Here is a 22,036-nt window from a genome sequence, read left to right on the forward strand (position 1 = left end):
GACGAAGTCTCACTCTTGTCCCCCAGGCTGGAGTGCAATGGCGTGATCACAGCTCACTGCAACCTCTGCCTCCTGGGTTCAAGCAATTCTCCTGTCTCAGCCTCCCAAGTAGCTGGGATTACAGGTGTCTGCCACCACGCCCGGCTAATTTTTGTATTTTTAATAGAGACAGGGTTTCACCATGTTGGCCAGGCTTGTCTTGAACTCCTGACCTCAGGTGATCCACCAGCCTCGGCATCCCAAAGTGCTGGGATTACAGGCGTGAGCCATTGCGCCCGGCCGAGAATGTTTTTTCAAAAAAGCAGGTCGCCAATCTGTGTAGACTCGTGCTGGCCAAGGCAGTGACCCCAAGCCACATGTGGCATCACACTTGAGACGTGGTCTAGGTGTAAAGTACACGCGAAATTCCCAGGACTTGGTAAACAGAGAGAATGTAAAACACTTCCCATCGGCGGCCGTGTATACTGATCCCACATTGGAATGATACTATTTTGAACAAGCTGGGTAATTTACAAAAATTTTCACCTTTTTGTTTGTTTTCTTTTTGTTTTTTGACTTGTAAAAATGTAGCTATGGCCGGGCACCGTGGCTCATAGCCTGTAATCCCAGCACATTGGGAGGCCAAGGCAGGCGGATCACCTGAGGTCAGGAGTTCAAGACCAGCCTGGCCAACATGGTGAAACCCCATCTCTACTAAAAATACAAAAATTAGCTGAGTGTGGTGAGGCACTCCTGTAATTCCAGCTACTCCGGAGGCTGAGGTAGGAGAATTGCTTGAACCCAGGAGGCGGAGGTTGCAGTGAGCTGAGATCGCACCACGGCACTCCAGTTTGGGTGACAAACTGAGACTCCGTTTCAAAAAAAAAAAATTGTACCTATAAGACCCACACAAATATGCCCAACTGATATTGGACAAAAGAGCAAAGCGTCTCAATGAAGGAAGAGCAGCCTCTTCAACAAACGACGCGGGAGTCATTGCACATCCATAGGCAATAAATAAATAAATAAACCTCGACCCCGTAAAACTTTTAGGAAAATAACAGGAGAAAACCTTCAGGATCGGCCGGGCGCGGTGGCTCACGCCTGTAATCCCAGCACTTTGGGAGGCTGAGGTGGGCAGATCACGAGGTCAGGAGATCAAGATCATCCTGGCTAACACAGTGAAACCCCGTCTCTACTAAAAATACAAAAAATTAGCCGGGCGTGGTGGTGGGCGCCTGTAGTCCCAGCTACTCGGGAGGCTGAGGCAGGAGAATGGCGTGAATCTGGGAGGCGGAGTTTGCAGTGAGCCGAGATCGCGCCCCTGCACTCCAACCTGGGCGACAGAGCGAAACTCTGTCTCAAAAACAAAAAAAAAGAAAAAAACTTTCAGGATCTAGGACTAGGTCAGGAGTTCTTGAGCTTGACATGAAAAGTATGATTCATAAAAGGCACAACTCATAACCTGGACTTCATCAACATTAAAGTCTTTTGCTTTGTGCAAGATCCTGTTAAGAGGATGAAAAAAAGAACTACAGACTGGGAGAAATATTTGCAATCCTCATATCTAGCAAAGGACTAGTTTCTAGAGTGTATAATCAACTCTCAAAACTCAGTAGTCAACAAACAAAAAATGGATTAGACGATGTCTCTTTGTCTCTTTGGGTATCTGTCTTCATTGCAGTGAATCGTTTGTATACATTGTTTTATTACAGTCACAAAAGAAATCATGTATTAACAGGAATAAAAAAGCAGGTTGTTACCTGTCACTAGAACAATATTATCGCTTCTGGTTGCCACAATAAATCATATTATGACTTTTTCCAAAATCCTCCAACCAAAGGTTGTCCCCATAAGCCTTTCGATATATATTATTAAGATATAAGAAGATGCTTAAGAGACAAAGAGATCTTCCGCCAAAGAATCAGATACCTGGATGGCAAATAAACACACAAAACGATATTCGACATCACGAGCCATTAGGGAAATGCTGATTAAAACCACAATGAGATGTCACTACACACCCATCAGGATGCTTAAAAAAAATAATAGTGACAACCTCAAATACTGATGAGGATGTGGAGAAACAAGGCACTCGTAAATTTCTGGTGGGAGTGTAAAACGGCCCAGCCACTCTATGCAACAGTTTAGCAATTGCTTTAAAAACTAAGCACATAGGCCGGGAACGGTGGCTCACGCTTGCAATCCCAGCACTTTGGGAGGCCGAGGCGGGAGGATTGCTTGAGCCCAGGAGTTCGAGACCAGCCTGAGCAACATGGCAAAAACCCTGTCTCTATTTTTACTAGATAAAAAACGTATTTTAAAAAACTAATCACACAATCAATCCACATATGACTCGGCAAGTGCATTTGTGGGAATTTATCCTAGAGAAACGAAAACTTAGGTTCCAACAAAACCCCACACATGAATGTTCCTAGTAGCTTTATTCACAGTCGCCCCTGAATGGGAAGCCATGGTTCATGTCCATCAGTCCGTGAGCGCGTGGACCGTGGGGTGCTGCTACTCAGCAGTAGAAAGGAACAAGTTCTTGACACACAGGACAGCTTGGATAGAGCTTCACAGGATGATGCTGAACCAAAAAAAGTCCATCTCAAAGCTGACATCATGCAGGGTTCCAGTTACGTAAAATTCTTACAGAGGAGTGGTTGCCCTGTGCCAGGGCAGCGTGGAGGAACCCTGCGGTGGGGGAGTGGTTCTGCGTCTAGCTAGTGGTAGTAGTTGCCGGAAGCTACATGTATCCCAGTGGCACAGGATTCTAAACACACAAGCACAGATGGGTGCCTGTAATACCCGTGAGACCTGTGGACTGTACCAACCTCAATTTCCTGGTTTGGAGAGTGTACTATGCTTCTATGCAGGATGTCACCATGGGGGGAAGTGGGTGAAGGGTGTATAGGGCCTCCCGGTACTTTTTTTTTTTTTGCAACTTCCTGTAGTTACTTCGAAATAAAAACTTTTAAACGTGGCTAATGGAAAATTTTAAATCACAGAGGTGGCTCACGTTACATTTCTATTGGGCACTGTTAGCCTAAACCGGGGGATCCACAAACCATGGCCCGAGGGCCAAATTGAGGCTGCCCTCTGCCTCTGTACAGCCCATGAACGAAGACTTTTTTAAATGAATAGACTTTCTTTTTTAGAGCGATTTTAGGTTCACAGAAAAACTGAGCAGAGTACAGCGAGTTTCCCCTCAATGTACACACTTTCCCATACCATTAATGTCTTGCATTTGCGTGGTACATTTGCTGTAACTGATGAGCCAATATTGATACATTATCAGTAATAACTGACGTTCAGGGCTTCTACTAGGTTCACTCTTGGTGTTGTACAGTCTATGGGGTTTCAGAGACACAGTGGCAGGCGTCCATCATTGCAGCCTCACACAGAATAGTGTCACTGCAGCCGGGCGCGGTGGCTCACGCCTGTAATCCCAGCACTGTGGGAGGCCAAGGAGGGTGCATCACCTGAGGTCAGGAGTTCAAGATCAGCCTGGCCAACGTGGTGAAACCCCGTCTCTACTGAAAATACAAAAATTAGCTGGGTGTGGTGGCGGGAGCCTGGAATCCCAGCTACTCAAGAGGCTGAGGCAGGAAAATCGCTTGAACCCAGGAGGTGGAGGTTGCAGTGAGCTAAGATTGTGCCATTGCACTTCAGCTTGGGCACAAAGAGCAAAACTCTGTCTCAAAAAAAAAAAAAAAAAAAAAAGACAAGAAAAGAAAAGGAAAAAGAATAGTGTCGCTGCCTTTGGAATCCAGTATCTGCCCATTTATCTTTTTCTCCTCTTGAGCCCCCAGCAGGTGTTGATCTGTTTACTGTCTTCACAATTTTGCCTTTTCCAGAATGTCCTAGAGCTGGAATCATGCAGCTTGCAGCCTTTTCAGACTGGTGTTTTTTGTTTTTTTTGAGATAGGGTCTCACTCTGTGACCCAGGTTGGAGGGCAGTGGTGCAATCTAAGCTCACTGCAACCTCCGCATTCTGGGCTCAAGCAATCCTCCTGCCTCAGCCCCCCAAGTAGCTGGGACTACATGTGTGAGCCACCATGCCCGGCTAATTTTTGTATTATTATTATAATTTTTTTTTTTTTTTTTTGTAGAGACAAGGTTTCACCATGTTGCCCAGGCTGGTCTCCTGAGCTCAAGTGATCACCCACCTCGGCCTCCCAAAGCGCTGGGATTACAGGTGTGAGCCACCGCACCCGGCCCAGATTGGCTTCTTCCACGTAGCAATGTACATTTCAGCATCCTCCACATCTGCTCAAGGCTTGACAGCTCATTTCCTTTTATCCATAAACAATATTCCCTTGCAGGGAAGCGCCACCGTTCGCACATCCACCCACCACCACAGGGTATCCTGACTGCTTCCACCGCGCCCGTATGAATGAAGTGGTTACAAACACCTGCGTGCAGGTTTCATGTGAAGGATGGTTTTGAACATTTTTAAATGTTGAAAAAAATCCAGAGGAGAATATTTCACAACACATGAAAATTATATGAAATTCCACTTTCAGTATCCTTAATAAAACGTGAATGGGGCTGGGCGCGGTGGCTCACGCCTGTAACCCCAGCACTCTGGGAGGCCGAGGCGGGGGGATTACCTGAGGTCAGGAATTTGAGACCAGCCCGGCCAACACGGCGAAACCCCATCTCTAGTAAAAATACAAAAATTAGCCGTGTGTGGTGGTGGGCACCTGTAGTCCCAGCTACTCGGGAGGCTGAGGCAGGAGAATTGCTTTAACTCAGGAGGTGGAGGTTGCAGTGAGCCAAGATCACACCACTGCACTCCAGCCTGGGCGAGAGAGTGAGACACTGTCTCAAAAAAAAAAAAAATTAATGGAACACAGCCATGCCAATTAACATACATTGTGTGGTGGCTTCCATGCTACAAGGGCAGAATTGAAAAGCTGCAGCCAAAACCATCTGGCCCCCAAAGCAGAAAATACTTGCTGTCTGGCCCACCTGCCAACCCCTGGAATAGACAATTACAATTCCCAACTTTGAAAGTCCAGGAAGAAAACCAACCAAAATGATAACGGCAACACCAGAGGGATCAAAGATCACAAATATTTCCCTTCTGCCTTTCCCCCAAATTTCTTTTTTTTTTTTTTTTTTTTTTTTTTTGAGATGGAGTCTCACTCTGTTGCCCAGGCTGGAGTGCAGTGGCGTGATCTCGGCTCACTGCAACCTCCGCTTCCTGGGTTCAAGTGATTCTCCTGCCTCAGCCTCCCGAGTAGCTGGAATTACAGGCATCCACCACCACGCCTGGCTAATTTTAGTACTTTTTAGTAGAGACGGGGTTTCACTATGTTGGCCAGGCTGGTCTCGAACTCCTGACCTCAGGTGATCCGCCCGCCTTGGGCTCTCAAAGTGCTGGGATTACAGACCTGAGCCACCAGGCCTGGCCACCCTCGAATTTCTAAAATGAACACAATCTCTTTTGTCTCTTTGGAAGCCCATTTCTATAGTGTCTTTGCCGGGGCCCCAGCAACCTGTCTGGGACTCCTGACCAGACTCACTCGCTCAGCTCTAGGGGTCGACGAGGCTGGGCCATGAGGAGCAACTGACATGACAGAAACAAGGAGTTTCTCAGGGCCCTGATTGTGTTTGGTTTTTTGCTTTTTGTTTTTAACCAGAGTCACTGCTCAGCCATCACTTGTGCTGAAGGCTTGAGCTCTGCGTCACCCTTTCCTAAAACGGGGTGATGACCACACTGATGTCGGGAGCTGTTTCTGGGATTCAGGTTGGCACCCATAGAGCATATGCCGCGGTGAACAGTGCTCCCCCAAGATTCATGTCCACACAGAAGCTCCCAATGTGACCTTATTCAGAAATAGGGTCTCAGCAGATGTCACCAAGCTAAGATGAGGTCACCCTAGATTTGAGTAGGCCCTATCTAATGACTGGCATCCGTATGAGAAGAAGAGAGGGCACACAAAGGGACACACCCTGTCCATGTGGCAACAGAGGCAGGGGTCGGAATGATGTGGCCACAAGCCAAGGAATGCCTGCAGCCACTCAAACCGGAAGAGACCAGGAAGGACCCTCCCCTAGACCTTCCAGAGGGAGCGTGGCTCTGCAGACACCTTGATTTTGGACCTCTGGCTCCAGGACTGTGAGAGAATACATTTCTCTTGTTTCAAGCACCCGGTTTGTGGTCCTTTGTCACAGCAGCCCCAGGACACTGATACGAGCACGTCCAACGGGGCTGGCAACTCAGTCAGGTACACAGTGATGATGACTGTCTATCTGCCCTGTACTGAGCCCTCTGTGCAGAGCTTTACACGCACGGCCTTCCTGAACCCCCACAATGCCCCCACTTCACAGAGGAGTAAACTGAGGTACAGAGTGGTTCAACACCGTCCAAGGCCACCCCCTGCGGGTCTTGAGTGGAGCTTGGATTCACAGCTGGGTCTCTGACCAAAGCTCACTTACAGGCCTCACCCAACCAAGCCCGCCAGCCCCTTCTCTGCCTAGACATCATGTGTGAGCCAAACAGCCATGCCACAGTTGCACACCAGAGGGCTGGGCACGGTGGCATCCCAGTCGAATTCTTTGGCAGCCCCTCCAAGCTCCCAGAGCTGAGGGGCAGCCAGGGAGGGGACCAGTGCTCGGCTGGGCGCCTGCTTGGCTTCTCCGCCTGACAGTGAGACTGCTGGGGCGAGGCTATGTCCTGTGGCCATTTCTAGACTGACTATGGCCACATGCCAGTTCATGGGGCTCTGACCAGCCAGCTGCCCTTCCCGTAACAGCTTCCCTCAGACCCCTGGCATCGGCCACTCTCTGGGTGCAGGCGGAGCAGCTGGTGGTGGCCACCTTGGCTTGGGCAGGGGGGAGTCTGGGGGAGGGAGGAACGCCACACAGAGCCTGCCAAGTGCTACAGAAACAAGACGAGATTAGTCTGAACGACACACAGAACAGATTGCAGGGTGTCGGGCAATGGGATGTTTTAAAGAAATAAATCTCAGCTCCCGGTTACAGAAGCACAAACAAACCCAAACAACAGACCTTCAGGAGCTGCTGGCTTCCCGGCTGCCAGGCTGCGCTGGGCCCGGAGGGGTGGGCGGGGGTTCCTGGAGCATCCTCAGGGGGCGGCGGGCGCTCTCGGGGTATCCCCGGGCGCCCTGGTTGGCCCACGACCGGGATCAGGGGTTTGATCCTGAAATTTGGGAGGAATGGAGGATGCAGCCCTCCCAGCTCCTGGCCATCCCACCTCCGAGGTCTCTCTGGGACCCAGTTGTCCCTCCCCTGGGTGGCGGCAGCTCCTGGATATCTGTGCTGCACCTGCCCCTGGTCCCTGCTGCTGCTGGAGTGGCCCCTAAGACACGCACGGCCCACCCTCCCCACTCACCCCTTGCCCCCTTCCCTGCTGTCTCTTGCCCTGGACCCTCTCACATGCCCTTCCCTCCACCCCCCGCCTCCTGCTCCCTTCCTCATCCCCTGCTTTGTGTCCCCGTCTCCTGCTCCAGGCTCTGATTTGCTGGGCAGCTGCTGCGCCCCGGAACAAAGACGGGAAGGGCAAAGTGTGTCCTGATTCGTGTGCCACCGCTCACTTCTTCGCCCACCTCCAGGAGTTTCTAATCCTCCTCGGGCTTGCCTGGAGGGTTGGGCAGAAAAGGAACGGCAGGAAACGCAGAAGGGATCCGGAACGAGCAGAGCTTTGTGAGTCCAGGGCGACACCCCCAGGGCCTTCCGTGGGAGCTCCTGCAAGGATGCTTCCCAGCACTGGGTCCTGGCCCACCAAGCGCACTGGCTCTAGCTCATTCTCAGAGACTGGACTCTTCCCCGAGAGCCTCATTTCTGTCCTCTGTGCCGTGTAGGAGGACAGGGGCCATTACACCAACGATGAACGATAACGCCGTTAATAATTCAGCCGCTGCCGCTGATACTCGGTCGACAAGGAGCCTTTTCCTCCTAAAGGCAGAAAGCACTTAGATGCCGTTTATTACTGCCTCGCACGCCCTGCGGGGTGGGCTGGCACCTGCCAGGGAAGCCATGTGAGGTGGGGAGCGGCCGCCCCATGGGGTCTGCTGTCCAAGCACTGGCCAGCTCCAGGTGAACCCTTGTGCCATCGCCCCCATGACAGGGGCCACCCTGAGGGAGTAGAGGGGCCTTGTCTTATCATCTCGTCTTTCCCCCATTACTTTGGACAGAGAGTTTTTCGGGCCTGTCCTGCTGGGAGGGTCGCTACGTTTCTAGGGTCCACCTTCCATCCTCCCAGGAACATTCCGTCCAGACCTGTGCTGTCAGGCATGGAGGCCTCCCGCTGTGACCACCAAACTTCACATTCATTGAAGATAAAGAAAGACCAAAGTCCAGTTGCTTGGCCACATCTGCTGCATTTCTAGGGCGTGGTGGCCACACACAGTGGGGCACAGGCACAGGACCGCGTGCACTGCAGGACGCTCTGCTGACGGCGCTGGCCCAGGCACTGGGAGGACCCTGTGAGGAAGCACCCGGGAACGGTGGCGCACGTAGGGAACACCACGCGGCCTTGATAGGAGCTCTCCAGAGAGAAAGCTCAGGTCCCAGCAGGGGTCACGGAGAAGAAAGTCTCTTCCACCTGCAGGTGGGCTGGGGATTCAGCAGGAGAGAGGAGAACATTCCAGCTGCGGGCAGCAAGGTGGGAAGCGGCTATGCTTGGGGTGAAGTGCCCAGTGTGTGTGCAGGAAAGGGCAAGAGGAAAGTGGGAGGGCAGGGGGTCCCGGCAGCACCCCCAGGTGGGCAGCACATTGCTCCTGGCCCTTGCCCACCTGTGGCCGCGCCAACCCGCTTGGACTGAGTCTGACCTGGCAGGAACTGCATGACAGAAACCACAGTAACAAGTGGCCAAACTCTGAGGCCAGGCCACCCAGCCCATCCCAACACCCAAACACCATCTTGCCTAGGCTGGCCACCCCGGGAACGCATGCCGGGAATGACAAGAGGACCCAGGGAGAGAGAGAACGAAACACTCACTTCCCCAGGGGGAGGCCCCGCTGGCGGCACGGGACCCAAGGTGGCAGGCCGGCGGCACTGGTGTCACTGGAAGGACCTCAGTGACCAGCTCGCCCTGGAGGCCTCTTCACTAGTTAGCAGCGTGCAGCGCAGTGGGAGATGCTTAGCGTCCCCAAATGTGCAGGTTCTCCCCTTCTGTCTATTTTTATACATTGGTTTTCATTCTAAGCTTAATATAATCACAGAATAACATTTTTGAAAACAGAAAAGTAAAAAAAAAAAAAAAGTGCTCATAATCACACTAGGCTAACACGTGGGCACACCTTCCTCTCAACCTCTGCCATCCACTGCCGTGGCCACTGACCACAGGCGCTATCCACATTTATATTCATCAGGGCCGGGCACGCGGCTCATGCCTGTAATCCCAGCACTTTGGGAGGTCCAGGCAGGAGGGTCACTTGAGCCTAGGAGTTTGAGACCAGCCTAGGCAACAGAGCAAGAGTCTGTCTCTAAAAAATAAAATAAATGAACGGGGCATGGTGGTGCATGTCTGCAATCCCAGCTACTTGAGAGGCTGAGGTGGGAGGATCGCTCGAGCCCGGGAGGTGGAGGCTGCAGTGAGCTGTGATTGTGCTGCCGCCACCGTATGCCGGCCTGAGCAATACGGTGAGACTCTGTCTCTAAAAACGAAACTTAAAAACATTTTAAAATTAAAAACAATTTTATTAATCCGTATTATGTAAAATTAAAAATTCAGTTGCACTTGCGCCATTTCAAGGGTTCAAGAGCTGCATGAAGCCAGTGGCCGCAGTGCGGGACGGCGCAGACCTGGGTTCTGTCTGCCCTGGCAGAAGCTCTGCTGGGCAGCCCTGCCCTGAGAGCCTCATCTGCACCTCAGGCCTCTTCACAGAGTTTAACTGCAACGGGCAGAATCATAACCCGTTTCCTGCTTTGCGTCTGATTCACTCTAAATTTCCACACTGCAACACTGCATGGACCATTTGACAGTCCTTGTCAATACCACATCTTCTCCTATCTGGCAGCACCGAGCTTCTGAACGTTTTACAGGTCACAGACCTTCTGGGAAGTCAGATGGTGCCTCCTCCTCATATAAAAAAAAGTGGGGTAAGATCTCAGGGGTTCGTGAGCCCAGGTTTGAAAACTCCCTGATCCAACAGAGGGACCTTAGAGGGACCTTAGTCGGTCCACCTCCTCTGCCGTTGGATTCTTATGTTCTGCTCCTTTTTCCCCACTGTAAGGAATACCACGATGAACATCTTCATGCAGAAGCGTTTGTCTTTCTACTTTTATTTTCTTTTGAGACAAGGTCTAGCTCTGTCACCCAGGCTGGAGTGCAGGGGCACCATCTCGGCTCACTGCAACCTCTGCCTCCCAAGTTCAAGCGATTCTCGTGCCTGAGCTTCCCAAGTAGCTGGGATTACAGGCATGTGCCACCATGCTGAACTAATTTTTGTATTTTTAGTTGAGATGGGGTTTTACGGTGTTGACCACGCTGGCCTCCAACTGCCAACCTCAAGTGATCTGCCCACCTTAGCCTCCCAAAGCGCTGGAATTACAGGCTTAAGCCACGTGCCGGCCACTTTGGCCTTTCTATCTGTAATTTGGATTCTTTCTTAGGATGAGGTCCAGAGGAGACATTTTCACTTAGGGAGCAGAATCTGGTGTTTTTGTTGTTCTTGTTTTTGTTGTTGTTGTTTTTGTTTTTGACAAGGTCTCACTCTGTCACCCAGGCTTGAGTGCACTGGTGCGATCATGGCTCACTGCAGCCTCCACCTCCCAGGCTCAAGCAGTCCTCCTGCCTCAGCCTCCGGAGTAGCAGCTTGGATTAAAGGTGTGCACCACCACACCCAGCTAATTTTTTTTTCTTTTTGGTAGAGACGGGGTCTCGCTATGTTGCCCAGGCTTGTTTCAGTTCTTTATCCAGGTCACCAATGCACATCCCCGGGGCAGGGTCAGTGGACACGGTACCAGCCCCATGGCGCCCCGTTATTCCACACCCTCGCCCAACTGGCCTTTTAGGCTGGACGGTAGCTTCCAGCACAGAAACCAAGGGCAGGATGACCAGTCGCGCTTGGTGGTCACCCTCCCCAGCACACCCGAGAGCCTTGCTTTCTGACACTGAGGAGGGCACAGGACCAAGATAGCCCAGGGCTCACCCCCGGCTCGGGGAAGCTCAGGGTCTTGGGGTCTCAGGGCGGGGAGGCAGGACGACGCATTGGCGACAGCAGCTCTCCGTATCACCCCATCCCCCAAGTCAGCCTCGAATACTCACTTGGTCAAGGATTTCCAGGCCGTCGCTGGACTGGGGCCTGGGGCCTGGGGCTTCCAAAGGAGACCTCTGGGTTTAGTAGGTGGGCTCACCTTCCAGCATGCAGACCCCACCTGGCCATACTCTACAGGTAGCACACGAATGTGGGCAGCCCGGGGGATACTGCCATTTCTAACCCCTAAGCTCTTCTGTGAACTACTTGCCAAATAACCATATACCTGGGGGACCCTAGGCCCCCGGGGTGGGGTGGGGGAGTTGTCCCTCCTGGCCAATCTCAGCCAGACACGCAGCCTGCACATGCAGTTCTTCAGATCCACCACTAGAGGGGACCCTCGAGCCAGCCTACCTGCTCTGCCCTCCGGGGGGACTCAACTCCGGGTTAATTATTAATAGACGCCCCACCGCTCAGAGTGGCGATGGGTGCACCCGAGTCCTCACCAACACCCCTGCCTGGCGGGATGGCCAGTCATCTGGGGTCCTCGGCCCTGACACCCCTCCCCACCCCAGAGCACCAGGAGCGCTCTCGCTCTCTCTCGCTCTCTCGCTCTCTTTCTCTCTTTCTTTCTCTCTCTCTCTCTCTCTCTCAGCCCCTTCACAGCAGGGGTTCTCAACGCTACGTGCACTTCAGAAACCCCCAGGAAGTTCAAAACATTCCCATGCCTGGGCGCCACCCCAGCGATCCTAGTTTAATTGGTCTGGGTGCAGCCTGGGCATCAGGATTTTTAAAGCTGCCCAGGGCATTCTCATGGGCAGCCGGGCTGGGGACGCCTGCTCTACAGCGTCTAGGACAATTAACCACCTTAGCCAAGGATCTCCAGTCCCATCATACGAAGGCCCCGGGGGATGGGGATGGGGCAAGGAGCACCACCTCTGCTTCCTGGGTCTACCATGTGGTGGGGGCCAGAAGCGCACAGGAGCAAGGAAAGACCAGGGAAATGCAGATTCCAGGGCTCGCCCAGCCCCTTTCAGAATCCATGTCTGCTTTTCTTTTTCTTTCTTTCTTTTTTTTTTTCCAGACAGAGTATCTCTCTGTCACCCAGGCTGGAGTGCAGTGGCATGATCACAGCTCACTGCAGCCTTCACCTCCCAGGCTTAAGCCATCCTCCTGCCTCAGCCTCCTGAGTAGCTGGGACCATAGGCATGCACCACTATGCCCAGCTAATTTTTATGTATTTTTTATAGAGATGAGGTTTTGCCATTTTCCCCAGGCTGGTCTTGAACTCCTAGGCTCAAGCAATCCACCCACCTTGGCCTCCCAAAGTGCTGGGATTACAGGCGTGAGTCACAGTGCCCGGCCTCCATATCTACTTTTTAAAAATAAAAAGAAAGCTCTCAGCAGTCTGTCTTGGAGACAGGCTGTTTTCACTCCAGCCTTGCACTGAAGCACACGCTTCTGGCGGGGTGGGGAGAGTCCCATCCACATCCACCTCGTCCCAGCACAAAGCTGCAACTCGCCACGTTCAGCGAGCCTCCCCTGGACCGGGCTGACACAGGCCTGAGGTGCGAGCCACACCGAGCCCGCGGCCATGTGGCCAAGAGGCATTTTCTGAGCCTTCATCAGGAGCAGGGCCGGGCTGTGGTAAGCACCCCCCAGCACGGTCTCCGGGTGGGGACGAGTCCCAGGCCAGGCTCGCTGACCCCATACCCCAGGCTGGTGCTCAACCCTCACGCCGACTCTGCCCTACAAGGGGGTTCTTGGCCGCACTTCACACCCGTGAGGCATCTGCGTTTTGGATGTGGGAGGTAATGGCCACAAGATCACACATAACTCAGGATGATGCCAGGACTGGAAACAGATCTGTCGGACCCCAAAATTTACTCCTTCACCACCATCTGCCTCCCAGCAGCTGGGGACGGACAGGCGGACAGGGTGTCTCAGTGGGGACTCGAGTGTCAGAGCAGAGAAGGGGGCCATGGGGAGGGCCCTCCTCAGCCCAGGGTTCGGGGGAATAGAGAAGCCTCCCCCAAAAGCTGACATGAAGGTGCCTCGCCCCAGGAGCTGAGTCTCAAACATATAAGCTGGCCGGTTAGGAGAGAGGGGAAGGAGGAAGCCTAGGTAGAGGGGATCCCTAGCCAAAGGCATGAGGCAGAGAGAGCCCCACAAGATCTAGAGGCAGAGAGGACGACGAACTTGGAGGTGTGCACAGTGGGGGGTGGGGAGGCAGGCAGCATCGCTCAGCAGGGCCAGATGGTGATGGGCCTTGGACCCCGAGTGAAGGAGATGGTGCTTCATCCTGAAAATGATGGGCGGCCCCCGGTGGGTCCCAGGCAGAGGGACAGCCTGGCTTCCAGAGTGAGTGCACAGCACGCCTGTCCGCTGCCCACTGATGCCAATACATCCCCACCCTCAGTTGTGATAAAAAAAAAAAAAAAGTGTCTCCTGGCATTGCCATACACCCCCTGGGCACAGACTCGGCCCCGGGTGAGAATCACTGCTCTAGAAGAACCTGGAGGGACCTGGGCATCAGCGTCTAAAGGCTCCCCCAGGAACCCCCACATGCAGCCAGGTTGAAGAACCAGCAAGGCGAAGGGCGGGGAAAAGCGAACCGGGGTGCATTCTCACAATACCCCCAGAAAGTGGATATTACCAGCCTCATCTTACAAACAGGGAAACCGAGGCTCCAAGAAAAGAAAGAATTTCCCAGGTTCACACTAACCAGTGATGCCAGGACTCAACCGGCACTCAACTCCCTAACTCCTAAACTTGAGCTCCCTACGAGATGGGGCTGCGGGACAGAGAGCTGACCGGCCAGCTTCTGGTTGTGGTTCTGCCACAGAATCCTCAGCCCCAAGACCGTGGGCCAACCCCACCACCTCTCTGAGACACAACTGGGACCTTCCCCTCGCCTGGGCCCTGGGGATGCAGGGACACGGGGACGCCTGCAGGTTCTGCTGCACTGTTGGCCTGGCACCACCAGGGGGAGCTCCGACTGAGTCCGGCCTGCGGGACCCAGGCCAGGACCAGAGTTCGGGCCCCGCCTCCCCCACACCTCCTCGGGTTCCCTGGCGCCTGACGCCACCCAGCTCAGCAAGCCTCCTGGCACCTGGAGTCCTCAGTTACGGCTCACGGCTTCCTTTTATCTGCACTCTCCAATAACTGAGATGAATGTTATCGGTTCACCCTGGGGCTCTAATGGACTGCATCTTTACTGGAGGGATAAAATCAGGGAAGAACCCGTCCCACAGTCACCCCTGCTGAGGCCAGCAAAGCCTGTGTCCTTACTTCATGCCCCACCACTCCCCGGCTTAATCGGCCTGGGGTGACCTTTTATGCTGCAGCCCTGGGGCAGACCCAGCTGGGTTCACATCCCAGCTTGGCCCGGGCACTGGCTGGGAGACCCCTGGCAAGCTGCTGACCTTCTCCGAGCCGCCCTTTCCCCTTCGATAGCAGGGGATAATAGGAGGGCCCACCTCACGGGGCGTGGGGCTGTGGAAAGCACACACGTACCATCCATAGCCCACGGTGTCCAGCGCCCAGGCGAGACCCAGACCACCCACGTCCAGCATGCGCCCGGCTCACACCACGAGCTCAACAGTTAATGACCTGCTCGCTGACTGATGTCGGCTCTTACTGTTGTCTGTGGTCACCACCATTATTTGCCCAGAAATCTAATGAGCGTAAGGACCACAGCCGGGGCATAGGAAGGGGCTGTGGAAGTCGGATGCAGGCCCCCTGTGCTGGCTCTGGGGCTCCGGGCTTATGCGACCACACGGGCACTCACCCCAAGGCCATGAGGGCCCTCGTGGCACCATGCAACCCTCCCCACTCAGGAAGGTCTCTTTGGGTTCCAAGGCCCAGGGAACCCACCGCAGGGCACGGGCCCAACTCTAGCTCCTGCAAGTGTGGCCAGCAAGGAGTCCAGATACTCTGGCTGGACTCCCCAGGGTGCATAGCGGCTGCCAAGTCGGGTGAATATGGTCAACACTGCCCCGGGACTACATCCATCCTCCACAGCTATGAGAAAGAGGGAGGCTGAAGCCTCCGGGGACCACAGGGGGCCAGGTCACGTGCCCAGTGGGCTGCAGGGCAGAGCGGGGAGCTGGAGACCAGCACATCTGGGCTTGGGCCAGCCCTGTGCGTGAGCCTAATGATGCCACCCGGGCCTCTTGGGCACTCGCTTGGGGACTGAAAATCTCCTGCCCCTCCGGTGATGGGAACAGAAGGGACCAGGACTCCCGGGGGCTTAGCCTTGGTCATGGGCCCATCAGACCTGGTAGGGCCTGTTTAGTCCTAGTGAGTCTCAAGGAGAGAGAAGAATGTGGACACCCCGACGCACCCTTCACAGTCCTCTCAGTGGGGTGTAAAGTGGGGACTCCCTGCTGAAGCCCTTGCCTCAGGGAGGGGCTCCTGCCACAGCCACGGCCACAGCCGCGGGCAGGTCGGGCAGATGCCTCCAGCGCTCACCTGGCATCACAGGTGACGCAGGTGAGTGCTTCCTGCCCAGGTCAGGCCTTGGGGGCCTCCCGAGAGCCCACGCCCAGAACCAGGAACTCACCTGCTGTCACTTTCCAGAAACACGGAGCCGCGGCTCTCGGCCAGCGCCGCGCTGATGGGCGAGAGGCAGAAGGGCGAGGAGAAGGTGTCTGAGTCTGAGTCAAAGGAGCTGTCTCTGCTCACGCCCTCGGCTGACAGTTCCAAAGAGCCATCCTCCTCCCCGGCCTCGGGCCGCGGCTCCCGCCCCTCCTCGGTGACATCCTGCGGACTGACCGTCGACAAGATCCCGGAGGGGCTGCAAGCAGGCTGCGAGGCTGGCTGGGCACCATCCACCCCCAAGCCCTGCGCCAGCTTCTCCTCATCCTCTGGCGCAGGGCTGGCGAGCATGCGGTCTGGAACACTCTGGGCCACCACCAGGATGTCCTCATCTTTGGGGGTCAGGGTAGGCCGCAGCTCCGTCGGGGAGGGCTGGTGGGAGGCTCCTGAGCTCCGGGTGCGCCGGCCCCGAGGGCGGGGTGCCTTGCGAACGGGGGAGCTCTCGGGTGTGATGTAGCGCAGGGCCTCCTCGTCCTGCCTCTGGATGCGAGAGTTGGGGACCCATGCCAGGATGAGGGTGGCTCCCAGCATCTCATCCTTCTCCATGTACAAGCACAGGTAACCTGTGAGGAGCCAGGGGGATGGCACGTTAGAGGCCAGGAGGCTGTGGATGAGGCCCTTGTGGTACCTTTGGCGAGCTGCTCGGAGAGGCCACTGCCCTTTAGTAAAGTGCCAGTCCGGCCTCAGATACAGCCTGGCCCTGAGCAAAAACACTAGAGGGAAACTGTGGAGCTTGAAATGAATTCCAGCTATGCGTGTTTTTTAAGAACACACACTTCCGGCAGATCCAGGGGGCACTGGTCCCCAAGCACCGGCCTGCCATGCGCCTTTCTTTTTGGTTTTTGGGTTTGTTTCTTTTTTCTTTGAGACAGGGTCTCGCTCTGTGTCTCAAGCTGGAGTGCAGTGGCACAATCTCAGCTTACTGCAACCCCCACCTCCTAGGCTCAAGCAATCCTCCCACCTCAGCTCCCGAGTAGCTGGGACTACAGGTGCACACCACCACACCCAGCTAATTTTTTTTTTTTTTTTTTTGGTAGAAATAAGGTTTCACTATGTTGCCCAGGCTAGTCTCAAACGCCTGAGCTCAAGCGAACCGCCCACCTCAGCCTCCCAAAGTGCTAGGATTACAGGCGATGAGCCACGAACTCAGGCTTGCCATGCACCTTTCCAAGTACACCAGGGGCTCTCCCTGTGTTCAGAGCCCTGACCCTGGCCCCAGGGCTCACCTGCCTGCAGCCTCCCTGTCTGTGTGAGCCCAGCGGCCCAGGTGCCCAGCTTCATGGCTTTACAGCACTGTTAGGAGGGATGGAGGCTGGAGACTTCATTCTGTTTCACAAAAAGAATTCATACAGCCAGGCGTGATGGCTCACGCCTGTAATCCCAGCACTTTGGGAGGCCAAGGCGGGTGGATCACGAGGTCAGGAGATCGAGACCATCGTGGCTAACATGGTGAAACCCTGTCTCTACTAAATGTACAAAAAATTAGCCGGGCGTGATGGTGGGCGCCTGTAGTCCCAGCTACTTGGGAGGCTGAGGCAGGAGAATGGCGTGAACCCAGGAGACGGAGCTTGCAGTGAGCCGAGATTGCACCACTGCACTCCAGCCTGGATGACAGAGCGAGACTCCGTCTCAAAAAAAAAAAAAAAATTCATCCAAGCTGGGTGGTATTTGGGCCTTTTCCAATCATCAGTGGCACTCATGGCATTTTTTTAATGCAGATTGTTTGAGGAAGGGGCCACCTTTGCAGATGAGCATTGATGTCACACACGGGGTTGCTGGTGACATGGGAGGAGGGATTTCTCCTGGGCCAGAGCAAGTGGGTGGGTGCTCAGTTCTGGGGGGAGGTGGCATTTCCTAACCCAGCACCACGCAGTTTCAGGATATCCTGATTCCTGGGCCTCCCCCACCCACTCTCCAGGCCTCTACAACTCAGACCCCTAGAATCTCCTAAGCACTGCTCCTGTTGCCAAAACAGGCTGGGAAATTTGGGGAATGTCAGCCAGCTGGGCATTAGGATAACATGAGCCTGAGGCTGAGAAGTGTTTCCACATCCTTTGAGATCGGCAAGAGGGTCCGAGGTGGCTACTCCCTGGTCTCTCTCTCTAGAACACCCTCAGGCCAGGCAACCTCCGGGTCGAGGGGCCGCATCGCCCAGAACCTGCACCCCTTTCTAGGGCACTCCAGGGAAGCCCCTGCCCACACAGCCGCAGCCAACCAGCCGGTGGCTATAAAGATACACTTATCAAGGCAGGGGGACAGAACACTCTCTTTAAATGTTTCATTGGCATAATTTAAACTTTTGTCTTGTTTAAAAATTTATTTATTCAGTATTCGATTGAAACATAATCTGCATAAAGTGCCCAGATCTCACTGTAATTTATAACTTTTTTTTTTTTAATAGAGATGAAATCTAACTCTGTTGCCCAGGCTGGTCTCAAACTCCTGGGTTCAAGCAATCCTCCCACCTCAGCCTCCCAAAGTGCTGGGATTATAGGTGTGAACCACCTCGCCCAGATGACAACTTTACTATTTTGCCATCTTGTCTGGGACTTCTGTCTGTACTCTTGCCCAAGCCAAGCAAATGTTAGGGTGTGCCGGGGCAGGCCACAGCCAGGCTGCAGGACACTGGGGCCCTGAAACATCCTTTTAGCAGCCAGGGAAGGGGACGGCAACAGGAAGAAATGAGAAGAGAGAGTCCAGAGACTGCCCTGCAGCCCCACCTCCACCACACACTGGCACTGTGCAGCCGAGAGTCGCTCAGCCTCTCTGAACACCAGCGTCCTTACCCACCTAAGAGGCCTGCTGGGGCCCTGGCCACTCCCATGAGGTTGTTGTGCAAATTAAATAAAGCAACAGATGAACAAAGCAATGCATTTATTTGTTGCAAGTCATTCACACGAATGACAAGGGGCCAGGCAGGCCTGAGGGATCACTAACCCATCTTTTGTCCCTCCCTTTGGAAGCAGCAGGGCTGAGGGACTCACCCAGCCTGCCATGAGCCAGACTTAACACCCCCCAGACCCTCCTTCCGGGAGGACAGCTGCTGTTAGTTACACGTTCTGGAAGAGGAACCAAATGCACTCTCACGTGCTGTGGCCCAGGGCCTTTAGAGCCCTGGCTCGGAAAATAACCTGGGCTGTGCGACCCTGGAGCCTCGCCTGCCCTGGCTCACCTGGGTGGTGCTCCCCCAGCCCCTGCAGCCCCTCCGGCGGGTGCACGCAGACATTGTTCTTGGAGTAGATGATCTCTCCATCCAGGACAGAGGGGGACCCGCTGCCGCTGCCACCGGGGGTGAGGGTCAGGAGGTCCGAGGCTTTGGAGGAGGCCCTGCGAAGGAGGCGGCCCAGAGACATTGCCGGGCAAGTGTTTCCATCCTCCGCATGCGTCGGCCCGGGCAGGGCTCGTCAAGACCTGCCTGGGGGAGGAAGAGAGAGGAGATGGTCAAGGTTGTGGACTTGCGTTCTGTCTCACAGCAGTACGTGTCGCCTCGGCACCCGGTGGGTTCTGGTTAACCACAGGAGCGTGTCCTGCTGGTGAACAGCTCTGTACAGGGTAGGCCACGTTCTCCATCTTGGCCAGGCCACCCTGTCCATCGCAGGAGGCTGAGCAGCGTCCCTCGCCTCAACCTGTGGATGCCACCAGCACCTCCCTTCCCAGTACGAAAACTAGAACATCTCCAGGCTTTGCCAAATGTGCCCTGGAGGGCAAAATCCCTCCCAAGGAGAACCACTAAGCTACAGAAACTCTGTTCCCACCTTAGCAATTTCACAAAAACCTCCACAAAAACGTTTTTTTCACAAAAAAAAACGTTTTCTTTTCTCAGTTTCCCACCTGCATCAGCACAAATGAGCCCTTCTAATTCATTAAAAAGAAATAAACAGGCAAGGCGCACTGGCTCACGCCTGTAATCCCAGTACTCTGGGAGGCTGAGGCAGACAGATCACTTGAGGTAAGGGGTTCGAGACCAGCCTGGCCAACATGGTGAAACATCATCTCTACCAAAAATACAAAAATGAGCCAGGTGCGGTGGCGGGCGCCTACAGTCCCAGCTACTCGGGAGGCTAAGGCAGGTGAATCGCTTGAACCCAAGAGGCGGAGGGTGCAGTGAGCTGAGATCACATCACTGCACTCCAGCCTGGGCAACAGAGCGAGACTCTGTCTCAAAAAAAAAGAAAGAAGGAAAATTTATAAACTAAAGGATTAGTATACAGAATATATAAAGAACTCCTATAAATTCATGGTGAAAAGGAGCAACATCTCAACAGAAAAAAATGGGTGCTCCACACAAGAGGAAAACCAAAGAACTGATAAATATGTAAAGAGATTCTCAGTTCCAAACAAAAATTCAACACCCAACAAACCAGCAAAAAGCAATTTTAAGTCAAAAAATACTGAGGATGAGGGAAAGGGGAGCTGTCACCAGTCCTGTCTCCTCCAATGCGGGAGCAACATGGCAGAATCTGGCACCACTGAGAAGGCCCAAAGCCCCCTGAAATTCCTCCCTTAGGAAATACCTGAGGGTGGTTCTTCAAACTGCAATTTGCAGCCCTATCATAGATCCTGAAATCAATTTAGTGGGTCAACACCAGCATAAGAAGAAAAAAAGAAAAAAAAAATAGAAAATGCCCTTGAACCCTGGCCATAGGTAGGCTCAGCACTGGGTCAGAGAACTTCTGCCCCGTGAGGACACATTCATGTGGGTAAGACGACCTGGGACGTATGAAATGTATATATAATGCGCTGTGACCTGAAACATGTGATGACTCTGCCTGGAGGAACCCAAGGAAACACCTAATCAAATGCTTTGCAGCCAGTTTCTACCAACAAAAATGAAACCACCAAACCTCTAGATAGCAGATGAGAACCAACTAGACTTCTATACACACATGGAGCTCACAAACACACACACCAAGCCACGCCAAGGAACGACCGTGTCAGTGAAGAGGCAGGCACAGCTGGGCACAATGACTCATGCCTGTAATCCAAGCACTTTGGGGGGCCGAGGCAGGTGGATCACCTGAGGTCAGGAGTTCGAGACCAGCCTGGCCAACATGGCAAAACCCCGTCTTGACTAAAAATAGAAAAAAAAGTTAGCCGGGTGTGGTGGCACGAGCCTATAATCCCAGCTACTCGGGAGGGTGAGGCAGGAGAATTGCTTGAACCCGGGAGGTGGAGGTTGCAGTGAGCTGGGATTGAGTCACTGCACTCCAGCCTGGGCGACAGAGTGAGACTCCGTCTCAAAAAAATAAAATAAATAAAAAAAATAAAAGACAGGCACAGAGCCACGCTGCATCCTGATCACTGATGGGGGATGTCCAGGACTCTGACCACAGCTGGGCTGCGTGCAGGCCGGCTTCACAAAAGTCTGCAGAGGTCAGGGGGCTGGGAGACGACAGCCACAGAGGGGCTTCACCTTCACCTCTTTGAAGGAAGAAAAGACTTGAAGCCAACATGATAAGAATTAGCAACTGGGAGTGAATAAACCAAATGTGGTACAGTGGAATATTATTTGGCCTTAAAAGAAAGGAAATTCTGACTGGGAGCGGTGGCTCACACCTGTAATCCCAGCACTTTGGGAGGCCGAGATGGGCGGATCACCTGAGGTCAGGAGTTCGAGATCAGCCTGGTCAACATAGCAAAACCCCGCCTCTACTAAAAATACAAAAATTAGCCAGGTGTGGTGGCATGTGCCTGTAGTCCCAGCTACATGGGAGGCTGAAGCAGGAGAATCGCTTAAATCCAGGAGGTGGAGGTTTCAGTGAGCCGAGATCACGCCACTGCACTCCAGCCTGGGTGACAGAGCGAGACTCCATCTCAAAAAAAAAAAAAAAAAAAAGAATTAGTAACTGGGAGTGGATAAACCAAATGTAGTATAATGGAATATTATTTGGCCTTGAAAAGAAAGTCTGACGCCTGCTACAGCATGGATGAACCCCGAAAACATTGCGCTAAGTGAAACAAATCAGTCACAAGAGACAAGCACTGTAGGATTCTACTCGTGTGAGGTCCCTAGAGCAGTTAGGTTCACAGAGACAGGAAGTGGAATGGTGGGTGCCAGGGGGTGAGGTGGGGGGAATAGGGAGGTCATGTTTAAGGGGGACAGAGCTTCAGCTTGGGAGGATGAAAGCGTCCTGGAGGTGGACAGTGGCGGCGGCTCTACAACATGATCGTACTCAATGCCGCTGAACCTGATACTTAAAAATGGTTAAAGTGGTAAGTTTTATGTTATATGTATTTTACCACAATAAAAAAGTTAAAAATTATCTATTAGTGGAGGGTCTCCG

General features: G+C 53.6%; 1 protein-coding gene across 15 annotated transcripts in view, besides 2 other annotated features; it reads right to left on the reverse strand.

Moving 5' to 3' along the window:
• The window catches only part of TBC1D16 (TBC1 domain family member 16), a 103,530-nt gene that overhangs the window by 62,100 nt on the left and 19,394 nt on the right, over positions 1 to 22,036 (reverse strand). For 11 of the 15 annotated variants that reach the window (XM_024450579.2, XM_024450580.2, NM_019020.4 and 8 more), the window contains exons 2-3: positions 18,925 to 19,167; positions 15,718 to 16,315 (exon numbers count right to left, since the gene is read on the reverse strand). In XM_024450579.2, the coding sequence (XP_024306347.1) occupies positions 15,718 to 16,315; positions 18,925 to 19,105 (779 nt within the window). In that variant the 5' untranslated portion in view covers positions 19,106 to 19,167. The remainder of the gene's footprint in view (positions 1 to 15,717; positions 16,316 to 18,924; positions 19,168 to 22,036) is intronic. The other 4 variants (XM_047435346.1, XM_024450577.2, XM_047435344.1 and 1 more) reach the window with 1 other exon arrangement.
• Positions 7,577 to 8,437: an enhancer, noted in NCBI's record as "H3K4me1 hESC enhancer chr17:77975818-77976678 (GRCh37/hg19 assembly coordinates)". NCBI's record gives its function as "activates a minimal SCP1, AML or CMV promoter by ChIP-STARR-seq in naive H9 embryonic stem cells {active_cell/tissue: H9 hESC(naive)}" and the evidence as "EXISTENCE:reporter gene assay evidence [ECO:0000049][PMID:30033119]".
• Positions 18,772 to 18,938: a silencer, noted in NCBI's record as "fragment chr17:77987013-77987179 (GRCh37/hg19 assembly coordinates)". NCBI's record gives its function as "represses an EF-1alpha promoter that drives an FKBP-Casp9 reporter gene in an ReSE screen in phorbol 12-myristate 13-acetate-treated (for megakaryocytic differentiation) K562 erythroleukemia cells {active_cell/tissue: K562(+PMA)}" and the evidence as "EXISTENCE:reporter gene assay evidence [ECO:0000049][PMID:32094911]".

This window comes from Homo sapiens, chromosome 17 (assembly GCF_000001405.40).
Source record: "Homo sapiens chromosome 17, GRCh38.p14 Primary Assembly".
Taxonomy (NCBI): Eukaryota; Metazoa; Chordata; class Mammalia; order Primates; family Hominidae; genus Homo; species Homo sapiens.